Source organism: Homo sapiens, chromosome 12, assembly GCF_000001405.40.
Source record: "Homo sapiens chromosome 12, GRCh38.p14 Primary Assembly".
NCBI classification, from domain to species: Eukaryota; Metazoa; Chordata; class Mammalia; order Primates; family Hominidae; genus Homo; species Homo sapiens.
The window spans coordinates 31,747,434-31,758,683 of NC_000012.12; the positions used below are offsets into that span (position 1 = coordinate 31,747,434).

The 11,250-nt window shown below is 42.8% G+C and overlaps 1 long non-coding RNA gene and 1 pseudogene across 3 annotated transcripts, besides 8 other annotated features; one reads left to right on the forward strand and one right to left on the reverse strand.

The window, feature by feature from the left end:
* Positions 1,187-2,386: an enhancer, noted in NCBI's record as "P300/CBP strongly-dependent group 1 enhancer chr12:31901554-31902753 (GRCh37/hg19 assembly coordinates)". NCBI's record gives its function as "activates an origin of replication core promoter dependent on BRD2, BRD4, P300/CBP, MED14 and CDK7 cofactors, with strong dependence on P300/CBP, by STARR-seq in HCT116 cells {active_cell/tissue: HCT116}" and the evidence as "EXISTENCE:reporter gene assay evidence [ECO:0000049][PMID:35650434]".
* Positions 1,187-2,543: a biological region, named in NCBI's record as "P300/CBP strongly-dependent group 1 enhancer GRCh37_chr12:31901554-31902753".
* Positions 1,373-1,958: an enhancer, noted in NCBI's record as "OCT4-NANOG-H3K27ac-H3K4me1 hESC enhancer chr12:31901740-31902325 (GRCh37/hg19 assembly coordinates)". NCBI's record gives its function as "activates a minimal SCP1, AML or CMV promoter by ChIP-STARR-seq in primed H9 embryonic stem cells {active_cell/tissue: H9 hESC(primed)}" and the evidence as "EXISTENCE:reporter gene assay evidence [ECO:0000049][PMID:30033119]".
* Positions 1,681-1,750: an enhancer, noted in NCBI's record as "active region_6176". NCBI's record gives its function as "activates an Ori minimal core promoter by ATAC-STARR-seq in GM12878 lymphoblastoid cells {active_cell/tissue: GM12878}" and the evidence as "EXISTENCE:reporter gene assay evidence [ECO:0000049][PMID:35858748]".
* LOC105369724 (uncharacterized) lies at positions 1,700-9,668 on the reverse strand. 3 transcript variants are annotated; one of them, XR_931501.3, is made up of 4 exons: positions 9,439-9,668; positions 5,715-5,903; positions 3,815-3,920; positions 1,700-2,005 (listed from the first exon to the last, which is right to left on the reverse strand). It is a non-coding gene; the product is annotated as an uncharacterized LOC105369724 (long non-coding RNA). The 3 variants fall into 3 exon arrangements; XR_001749077.2 differs by lacking the exon at positions 3,815-3,920; XR_931502.3 differs by lacking the exons at positions 1,700-2,005; positions 3,815-3,920 and adding an exon at positions 4,939-5,304.
* Positions 1,771-1,950: an enhancer, noted in NCBI's record as "active region_6177". NCBI's record gives its function as "activates an Ori minimal core promoter by ATAC-STARR-seq in GM12878 lymphoblastoid cells {active_cell/tissue: GM12878}" and the evidence as "EXISTENCE:reporter gene assay evidence [ECO:0000049][PMID:35858748]".
* Positions 1,802-2,096: an enhancer, noted in NCBI's record as "tiled region #4305; HepG2 Activating DNase unmatched - State 5:Enh. and K562 Activating DNase matched - State 5:Enh". NCBI's record gives its function as "activates a minimal TATA promoter and a strong SV40 promoter by Sharpr-MPRA in HepG2 and K562 cells {active_cell/tissue: HepG2 | K562}" and the evidence as "EXISTENCE:reporter gene assay evidence [ECO:0000049][PMID:27701403]".
* Positions 1,959-2,543: an enhancer, noted in NCBI's record as "OCT4-NANOG-H3K27ac-H3K4me1 hESC enhancer chr12:31902326-31902910 (GRCh37/hg19 assembly coordinates)". NCBI's record gives its function as "activates a minimal SCP1, AML or CMV promoter by ChIP-STARR-seq in primed H9 embryonic stem cells {active_cell/tissue: H9 hESC(primed)}" and the evidence as "EXISTENCE:reporter gene assay evidence [ECO:0000049][PMID:30033119]".
* Positions 7,240-7,850, forward strand: IFITM3P2 (IFITM3 pseudogene 2; annotated as a pseudogene).
* Positions 9,542-9,836: an enhancer, noted in NCBI's record as "tiled region #3097; HepG2 Activating DNase matched - State 8:EnhW, and K562 Activating non-DNase unmatched - State 8:EnhW". NCBI's record gives its function as "activates a minimal TATA promoter and a strong SV40 promoter by Sharpr-MPRA in HepG2 and K562 cells {active_cell/tissue: HepG2 | K562}" and the evidence as "EXISTENCE:reporter gene assay evidence [ECO:0000049][PMID:27701403]".

Consider the following 11,250-nt stretch of genomic DNA (forward strand, 5'->3'; position numbering starts at 1 on the left):
GTAATCCCAGCTACTCTGAGGCAGGAGAATGGCGTGAACCTGGGAGGTGGAGGTTGCAGTGAGCCAAGATCGCGCCACTGCACTCCAGCCTGGGCAATAGAGCGAGACTCCATCTCAAAAAAAAGAAAAGAAAAAAAAAATCAAAATGAAAGCATCATTAACTTCATGTCAAAACTTGACAGACTTACTTAAAAGATAAACATGGTGTAAAAAAAAGAGTAGCTGGATTGCTCATTTTCAGATATCCACTTTCATACTTCTATTCACATTTTTCTTTACTTGTTTCTATAAAATTATCATATTCACCTATTTCCTCAGTGAAAATGGGGCTCTTGTTAATTTTTTATATTTGTGACATTCTCTACTTTAATATTCACATTACTATTTTCATCACTATGTTTTGGTTTAGTGAAATACTTTCAAAGTCCTCGATAACATTTTTTTCTATAAATTTTTTATTTTTTAATTATCCGGGCATGGTGGCTTCGCCTGTGGTCCTAGCTACTTGGTAGGCAGAGGCGGGAGGATCACTTGAGCCCATGAGGTCGAGGCTACAGTGAGCCATGATCACGCCACTGCATTCCAACCTGGTCAACGTACGTAGCAAGACCCAGCAGTGTTGTCTTGAGCATGTCACTTAACCTCTCCAAGTCTGTTTCCTCATCTTTCCTTTGCAAGCACAGCAAGTCCCTGTAATAAGATAGGCACAACTGTCTGATCCAGGTAGGCACGAGTTGGCAAAGACTGGAGATCTACCTTCTGCTTTGATGACTTTTCTGCATTAATCTTCTCATTTTCTACTATCCTCTGGCCAGGCACGGTGGCTCACCCCTGTAATCCCAGCACTTTGGGAGGCTGAGGTGGGCAGATCACGAGGTCAGGAGATAGAGACCATCCTGGCTAACACACTGAAACCCCGTCTCTACTTAAAATACAAAAAATTAGCCAGGCATGGTGGCCGGCGCCTGTAGTCCCAGCCACTTGGGAGGCTGAGGCAGGAGTCCATAACATTTTTTTAAACATTGGCGATATAAGGCCACACTGGTAACCACATGAAAAATTAAAGTGTTGTGAAAATATTTTAAACCAAGATGACTTTTACCTGGTAAATTTTTTTTTTTTTTGAGACGGAGTCTCGCTCTGTCACCCAGGCTGGCGTGCAGTGGCACCATCTCGGCTCACTGCAACCTCCGCCTCCCAGGCTCAAGCGATTCTTCTGCCTCAGCCTCCCGAGTAGCTGGGACTACAGGTGCGAGCCACCACGCCCAGCTAATTTTTGTATTTTTAGTAGAGACAGGGTGTCACCATATTGGCCAGGCTGGTCTCGAACTCCTAGACCTCGTGATCTGCCCACCTTGGCCTCCCAAAGTGCTGGGATTACAGGCGTGAACCACTGCGCCCGGCCTTACCTGTTAAATTAATGTTAGTGGAAACACATTGCCAAACTCAATTTTTCAAGTACATGTATCTTCAAAATACAAATATACTTCAAAGCTACTGTACTTTGAAATATGTTATCTTCAAAAATGACATTATCACTAAGAATATAGGAAGCCTTAAGAATTGAATATGGTGGTTCAAAATTAGTATTTTTCCTCTTTGTAGGGGAAATCACCCAAAAGTAACAATCAGAACTGTTACCACCTGACTGGTTCTTGCCCACTGCACAGATAAAACCAAAACACTGAGCCAGCAGGAGTTGCAGCAGAGAAAGAGTTTGATTATTGCAAGGCAATAGAGTGAGGAGGACGGGATACATTTCCCAGATCCACCTCACCAAGAATTCAGAGGCTAAGGTTTTTAAGGATGATTTGGCAGGTAGGGCATTAGGAAACAGATGTTGTGGATTGGTTGGGGGATGAAATCATAGGAGTGTTGAAACTGTCTTCATGTGCTGAGTCATTTCCTGCAGGGGAGTGGTCAGAGGACCGGTTGAGTCAGTTCCTTTGTTGCAGTCACGGTCACTGTTCAAGCTGGTGTCAGTTGATTCACCTGAAGGCAAAGTCTGAAAAATATCTCAGAGATCAGTCTCAGGTTTCACAATAGCGCTTGTGACTGCCTGTTACATAACTCCTGAGCAATAAGCAATTATAGAAAAGCAAACAAGAGAACAATGATGGGCTATCATTCAACTACGCCTACAGCTTAAGAGGTGAGCTCCCTGGTGATTGAAACTGCTTGCACTCCTCAGTTGATCCAACTTCTGGAAAATACAAAGGCAGTCTGCATGACTTAAAGATCATTGTTTCTTTTTCTTTTTTTTTTTTTTTTTGAGACAGAGTCTTGGTCTGTCGCCGAGGCTGGAGTGCAGTGGCACAACCTGGGCTCACTGCAACCTCCGCCTCCTGGGTTCAAGCGATTCTCCTGCTTCAGCCTCCCGAGTAGCTGGGATCACAGGCATGTGCCACCACGCCTGGCTAATTTTTTGTATTTTTAGTAGAGGCGGGGTTTCACCGTGTTGGCCAGGCAGTGGCTCAATGCCTATAATCCCAGCACTTTGGGAGGCAGAGGCTGGCAGATCACCTGAGGTCAGGAGTTCGAGACCAGCCTGGCCAACATGGTGAAACCCCGCCTCTACTAAAAATACAAAAAATTAGCCGGGCGTGGTGGCACACGCCTGCAATCCCAGCTACTCGGGAGGCTGAGGCAGGAGAATTGCTTGAACCCGGGAGGCAGAGGCTGTAGTGAGCTGAGATCGCACCACCGTACTCCAGCCTGGGCGACAGAGCAAGACTTCATCACAAAAAAAAAAAAAAGGACTATGTTACGTAATCATGCCTGGTAGATGAAAATGTCAAAGGGAAAGAAAGTAAGTGTAACAAACATCTATTAGCTGTGCCTCTATTTTAACAAAATTTAGGCCTCTCTAAATTACAAAGTAAGTGGAATGGTTGAGTGTGGGAGGGCATTAGGGGTGCAGATTTTAGAAGTATTTTATTAGATTTAGGGTTTGGGATTAGATTAGATGAGGGGTAATAAATGATTGCTAGGGAGAATGACTGGATCAGGGAACAGAAATTAACTTGTAGGTAGTTCTCTTTGGAATTTAAATGATCCTTGGAGAGAGTCAGTCATTATCTTGAAAAAGGGTCTGTTTAGGTGTGGTTACATTTTCGGTCTTACAGATGTTACCAAAACACCCAAGATTCAGTCTAGGTCCTGTTGCTCCCCTCACAGAAAGCCAATCATTAAGACAATGAGTATTGCCAGGGAAGAAGGCTGTAATCCAGTGCTGCAGCAGAGGAGATGGGAGATCAGTCCCAAATCCAACTCCCTGACTGTCTAAAATTTGGGATTTGTATAGCAGGGAAGAAATGTAACTATGTGTGGAAAAACGGGAATTTTAGGGAGGGGTAAGGAAGAGAAAGGGGTCAACAGGAAGCAGGCAGTCATGATTGGTGAGGCGTCTGGCTCCCTTTGTCCAGATGTGATGATCTGGTAAGTTTCAGCTCCTTGATACTGTCTGGGAGGACTGATGGTTTCTTTTCTGAGAAAGCAACTCAGATAAGACAGATGTAATTTTCTCAAGTTTTAAGACCAGGAGGATAAATTTCTATGTTTATTAAAAAGAACCATAAACATCACCTCTACAGGACAATTGGGCAGGTTTCCCAGGGAAGGGAAGAAAACTATTGTTCTCCTTGGTGGGTCTGGAGCTTAGGCAGGTAAAGGAACTTGAGCCTCTTTGGAAGAGCTGGTGAGGGGTGGGTAGATCAGAGAGACCTTGAGTCTTCTTAGTTCAGGATGTAAACATGCCATATTTTGGGGAATTGGTTTCTAAGCCTCAACATTACAGACAGGAATGAAAACCGACCTTGTCTGGAGGAGAACTTTCCAAGTTTGGTACAGAGGACTCCCACAGATTATGATGAAGCCATCAACTCACAAACTGGATTACCAAACACACAAGAAGGCAATCACTGTGAGAGTCAGCAGAAACAACTGATTTAGATTTCTCAAATATTTCTAGTATTAGAATTATAATTACATATATACGACATAAAACAGCTGTGTATGAAGTGTTTAAAGAAGTATATAATTTAAAAAGTGAGCCTTCAACTAGAAACAGGAATGAACAGAAACATTTTGGAAACAATCCAAAAAGAACCAGGAATTAAAAATATAATGGGGTGACTCACATCTGTAATCCCAGCACTTTGTGAGGCTAAGGCGTGTGGATCCTTTGAGATCAGGAGTTTGAGACCAGCCCAGTCAACATGGCAAAACCCCGTCACTACAAAAATACAAAAATTAGCCAGGCATGATGGCACATGCCTGTAATCCCACCACTTTGGGAGGCCGAAGGGTGGATCATTTGCGGTCTGGAATTCAAGACAAGCCTGGCCAACATGATGAAACCCCATCCCTACTAAAAAGACAAAAATTAGTCAGGTGTGGCAGTGTGCGCCTTATAATCCCAGCTGCTTGGGAGGCTGAGGCAGGAGGTTGCAGTGAGCCGAGATCGCACCACTGCACTCCAGCCTGGCCACAGAGCGAGACTTCGTCTCAAAACAAAAAAAAAAAAAAAAAAAAAAAAAATGAGGTCGGGGATGGGGAAGTGGTGGTAGGAACTCAGTGGAGGGATGAACTAGCAGATTAGATAACTCAAGTGAGAATTTGTGAACCAGAAAATATATCTAAATAACTGATCCAGAATGCACAGGGAGAAACAAGGAAATGGAAAATATGAAAAAAAGGTTAAAAGATATGTAAGATAGGATGAGAATGAGACAGGATAGTTCATAGTTCAAGGTCAAGTCTTGACCTTGACCCCCTTTGTGGGCAGGAACTGGAGTGGCTTGTTTCACTCAGCCTGCAGTCCGTGGATGGCTAAGTGTTAACAGCCCAGGCTGACAGCCTTCTGCACCTGCCCTTCTTGACACCCGAATTCTTATTCAGAGTCCAGGAAGAATCAGGTCACATAAACTTTTTGAAGGGTAGTGTATATGGAAGATTTTACTGTGTGATAAAAGTGGCTCTCAGCAGGATGGGGAATTGGAAAGGGGATGGTATGGGAAGAAACTGCTCTTTCTCTGAAGCCGTGTCTATCTGTAGTTTCCGATGCTCAGCTGCATGTATTCCTGATGCTCAGCAGCTTGTATCCCCGACCACTTGCATCAGCTGCTGAGGTTGCTCTTTTTCTTCCTTTTGTTCTGCTAGCTGGTCTGGTATTTATAGGCATATGACAGGGGGTGGAGCGGGCCAAAAAAGCAATCATTTGGGTGGAAAAAATGGGGTCAGCTGTTTCACTTAGGACTGAGGTTCCAGGCTTGAGGGTGAAGTTTAGCCTGGAGCCCAGCAGTTCTGCATCAAGAAGATTTAACATACACTTAGTTTCAATTAGAAAGATAGTGAGAAAAGAGTAGAGGCAATGTGTAAAGAGATAATGGCTGTGAATTTCCCAGAACTGGTGAGAAGCATATACCCACAGATCTTGAAAGCAAAGAAAAAAAAAATAAGGAAACAGGGAAACAAATTTAAAATATAATTTTTAAAAAATTGCAGAGAAAAAGGAAACGAGTCTAAAAATGTAAAATGGCATATTACTAAAAAAGATTCCAAGTAGTCAAGAGCAATCTATGTCCTGATAAAATTATTAGATTTCAAAAAGAATTATTTAAAAGCCAGAGAATAAATCACTTATAATGAGAAAAACAGGCTGATTTCAGATTTCTCCACAGCATTTGTTCTTAGAAGACATTATGTATACATACCAATAAAATCCTCCAGCAAAGAGATGTGACCCAGGAATTTTGTATGCAGTCAAACTGTTGCTTAAATATAAAGGTAGGTGGTGTGGTGCCTCACGTCTCTAATTCTAGCACTTTGGGAGGCTGAGGCAGGAGGATTCCTTGATCCCAGGAGTTCAAGACCAGCCTGGGCAACATGGTGACACCTTGTCCCTAATAAAAATAAAATTAAAAAAAAATTTAGCCAGGCATGATGATGCATGCCTACAGTTCCAGCTACCTGGGAGGCTGAGGTGGGAGGATCGCTTGAGTGCAGGAGATTGAGGCTGTGGTGAGCCATGGTTGCACCACCACACTCCAGCCTAGGTGACACAGTGAGACCCTGTCTCAAAACAAGACAAAACAAACACACACACATATATATATTTGTTTATATACATACATATGTATGTATGTATATAAAGCCAAAGAGTTTTGAAAACACAACATCTTAAGGGTATTGTTTGTATTAACTCACATGAAGAATCCACCAATGGACAAATGTTGTCAAACCAGAGATGACTAGAAAGCACTGGGTAGATAGCATAAGCGCTGCTGGTAAATTGGCTTAAAACTAAAATAAATGTGGGATTGTTGTTATTAAACAGAACAAATATACACATTAAGAAACATAATATAATTAACAAAAATTGAGAAGTTGTAGAGAGAAAAAGGAGGTGGAAGGAAGAAGAAAGCTACTAATTTAATTATTAGCAATTATCAGAATAGGGCATTGATAATAGTGGTTAAAGAAAGAAGATCAGGGCCGGGCACAGTGGCTCATGACTGTAATCCCAGAACTTTGGGAGGCCGAGGCAGGTAGATCACAAGGTCAGGAGATGGAGACCATCACGGCCAACATGGTAAACCCCGTCTCTACCAAATACAAAAATTAGCTGGGCCTGGTGGTGTGGCACACACCTGTAATCCCAGCTACTCAGGAGCGTGAGGCAGGAGAATCGCTTGAACCTGGGAGGAGGAGGTTGCAGTGAGCCAAGATCGCGACACTGCCCTCCAGCCTGGGTGACAGAGCGAGACTCCATCTCAAAGAAAAAAAAAAAAGAAAGAAGATCAGACATTTGACAAAATACAAACATGCATAATTATCAGAAGAAATGGACATACAACAAAAACATCTCACATACGAAAACATCTCACATACGAAAATATTTTTAACTTTGAAACCATGAATTATAACATGAAATAACATGATATAGTCATGACCAAACATGTCTTTCATATCAAAAATTTTAAACAATTGTAATAATTGTAAATGAGTTTAATTCATCTAGTAAAAGGGGAAAAAGTCAGATAGAACCACAAATAAAAAATAATTCAATACCATAAAAACAAAGACAAACCTAAAACTAATAGATTCAGAAGGACAGAAAATGAAGAGAAAAAAAGATAAATGGGCAAACCTGTACTAGGCTAATGCAAACGAAAGTAATTGTTATCTTAATTTCAAATATGGAGAAAACAAAACTACTGGGGAAAGGGAGGGTCCACTGAGAACCATCCCAGTAACTCAACCACGGCTGGTCTTCGCTGGACACCATGAACCACACTGTCCAAACCTTCTTCTCTCCTGTCAACAGCGGCCAGCCCCCCAACTATGAGATGCTCAAGGAGGAGCACAAGGTGGCTGTGCTGGGGGTGCCCCACAACCCTGCTCCCCCAACGTCCACCGTGATCCACATCCGCAGCAAGACCTCCGTGCCCCACCATGTCGTCTGGTCCCTGTTCAACACCCTCTTCATGAACCCCTGCTGCCTGGGCTTCATAGCATTTGCCTACTCCGTGAAGTCTAGGGACAGGAAGATGGTTGGCAACGTGACTGGGGCCCAGGCCTATGCCTCCACCACCAAGTGCCTGAACATCTGGGCCCTGATTTTGGGCATCCTCATGACCATTCTGCTCATCATCATCCCAGTATTAATCTTCCAAGCCCATAGATAGATCAGGAGACATCACTGAGGCCAGGAGATCTACCCATGACCTGTATCCTTTGTACTCCACCTTCCATTCCTCGCCCTGCTCCCGGAGCCAAGTCCTGTATCAGCCCTTTATCCTCACACACTTTTTTACGACGGCATTCAATAAAGTGTACGTGTTTCTGGTAAAATAAATAAATAAATAAATTCAAATATGACTGAGTTTGGGGGAATAAGTGCTAAATAAGACACAGACACTTTATATGCTAAAGGTTGAAATTCACAAAAATAACAGTTATGAATATCTATTTACAAATAACATGGCATTGATATAAGCATAGCCCTTAAAGCAAAAGTTAAGGTGTTGGAGGCCATGGGCTGTTGACCCCCTAAAGGTTTGCTAAAAAATCACCGACATGAAGCAGATTGACGAATAGAAGAAAAAGCGTACAAATTTATTTAACATGTATACACAGGAGCCTTCAGAATGCGGACCCAATTTCCCAATAAGTAACAGAAGCTTATATACCACCTTGAAATTGCAGAAACAATGCGGACTCAGAGTATGTCCAAAAACAGGATTTAGTGGCAAGGCAGGTTATGGGAGGAAGAAAGGAAGGAAGAGGCTTTGCTAGCAATGGTGGCCTTGTTGTACAGAGAAGCCTCCCTCAGAGGGAATACATGGTAAAAGTTTATTTCCACACCTTTAAAGGTGCCAGACTGCCAGTCTCTCCTGGATCGGGAAAGGAATAGAAAAGAGAGGCAGGGCTGCATTAGTGGAGATTCTCTACAGATGCAAATTTTCCCCACAAAGGACAGCTTTGCTAGGCCACTTCCGTTTTCTGACCAAGGGGCAGCCATTTCAAAATATGTCAAAGAAATATATTTGGGGCTAAAATATTTTAATTTCCTTCAAGGTCTACAACAGAAAAGTAGAGAGAAATACATTAATGGTGGGATACTTTAACTCTTCTCAAAAGTATGCAGAAAGCCAAACAAGGGTATAGTGAATTTATAATTAGTAAGGTAGATATATGTCAAATTCTGTGCTTCTGAAAACAGAAAATACATATTTTTATATTTCCAATAAAAAAACCTTCAATAAATTTCAAAAAGATAAAACAGTACAGCTGGGCACACTAGCTCAAGCCTGTAATCCCAGCACTTTGGGAGGCCAAGGCAGGTGGATTGCCTGAGGTCAGGAGTTTGAGACTAGCCTGGCCAACATGGTGAAACCCCGTCTCTACTAAGAATACAAAAATTAGCCAGGCAAAGTAGAAGGCACCTGTAATCCCAGCTACTCCGGAGGCGAAGGCAGGAGAATTGTTTGAACCTGGGAGGTGGAGGTTGCAGGGAGCCGAGATAGCACCACTGCACTCCAGTCTGGGTGACAGAGAGAGACTCTGTCTCAAAAAGAGAGAAAAAAAAAAAAAAAGGATAAAACAGTACAGACAACTTTATCTAGTACCAAGGCAATAAAACTAGAAGACAATAATATAAGGAGGAAACCAAAGCCCCTACGTATTTGGAAATAAAATATCTTGGTTTTAAATAGCTCTCGGGCCCAAGAGGAAAATCCAAATGAAATTGCAGACCATCTAAAAAGTAATGATAACAAAAATATTGCACATCAGACTCTATATGATACTGCTGAAGCAGTGTTCAAACATTGTATTTTAAATATCTTTATTACAAGTTATGAACAATGAAATAAATTTCTGAAATTCTTTTCTACACTTATCTTAAAGAATATTATATAGAATTACTATAATCACCTGTTGACTCCTTCCAGCCCACTGCACAGACAAAAATCGATTTACTGAGACCTCAGCATTGCAGTAGAGAAAAATTTGACACAAGGCCAGGCACACAGAAGATGGTGTTACTCCTCAAGTCAGTTTCCTTGAAGGCTCAGAGATTAGGGTTTTTAATGGACAATTTGGTGGGCAGGGAGCTAGGGAATGGGTACTGCTGAGTGATCAGGGAGGAAATCACAGGGGTGTGGAAAATAGTCCTTGTGCACTTAGTCCACTTCTGGTGGAGCCACAGGACCAGCTGAGTCATGAGTCACGAGTCCAGGTGGAGTCAGTCTGAGAAAATCTCAAAAAAAAAAAAAAAAAAAAATCTCAGGTTTTACAGTAGTGGTGTTATCTATAGGAGCAATTGGAGAAGTCACAAATCCTGTGACCTCTGGCCACAGGACTCCTGAGCAATAAGAGATTGTAGAAACTATGCCTACATTTTAGCAGAACTCAGGCCCCTCCCATAACCCTAATCTTATGGCCTTTCATTAGTTTTAAAAAGGCAGTTTCAGCCCCTGAACAGGGAGGGAATTCATTTTAGGGAAGGATTATTATAATCTTTGCTTCAAAGCCAAACTATATATTTTTATTTTTGAGACAGAGTCTCACTCTGTTGCCCCTGAGCTGGAGTGTAGTGGGGCAATCTTGGCTCACTGCAACCTCTGCCTCCTGAGTTAAAGCGATTCTCCTGCCTCAGCCTCCCAAGTAGCTGGGATTACAGGCACCCACCACTGTACCCGGCTCATTTTTTGTATTTTTTGTAGAGATGGGGTTTCACCATGTTGGCCAGGCTGGTCTTGAACTCCTGACCTCAGGTGATTTCCCCGCCTTGGCCTCCCAAAGTGCTGGGATTACAGGCATGAACCACCGCACCTGGCCCGAAGTTAAACTATTGACAACTACATTCCTCCCAGAGTTAGCTTGGTCTGTGCCCAGGTATGACCAAGAACAGCTTGGAGGTAAGAAGCAGGATGGAGTCAATTACATCAGATTTCTTTTACTGTCATAATTTTGCAGGGGCAGCTTCATTACAAATGCAGAACTTAGTAATAAAAGTCATATTGTTGGCTGGGCGCAGTGGCTTATGCCTGTAATCCCAGCACTTTGGGAGGCCAAGGCGGCTGGATCACGAGGTCAGGAGTTCGAGACCATCCTGGCTAACATGGTGAAACCCCGTCTCTACTAAATGTACAAAAAATTAGCCGGGCGTGATGGCGGGTGCCTGTAGTCCCAGCTACTTGGGAGGCTGAGGCAGGAGAATGGTGTGAACCCGGGAGACGGAGCTTGCAGTGAGCCGAGATTGCACCACTGCACTCCAGCCTGGGCGACAGAGCGAGACTCCGTCTCAAAAAAAAAAAAAGTCATATTGTTAGATATGAATTCTAAACTTGTTTTCAAAGAATATGTCAGTATGTTCAATTATTTACCTTCTACTTTTAAACTTCCTCATAAAGCAACCTTTTTCAATTACCTGCTCCACCCTGACTCATTTTGATCACCTGCTCCAACCTGACTCATTTCAATCACCTGCTCCAACCTGACTCATTTCAATCACCTGCTCCACCCTGACGCGTTCTGATTACCTGCTCCACCCTGATTCATTCCCATTACCTGCTCCACCTTGACTCATTCCCATGACCTGCTCCACCCTGACTCATTCCCATTACCTGCTCTGTCATAACCATTTTTCCCGCCAAACCACTCACCCCATCACTCTCTTTAAATTGGCCAATCGGAATTAGTTTAGCCTGGGCGGTCTAACCCTAGCCAATAGGGGAATGACAC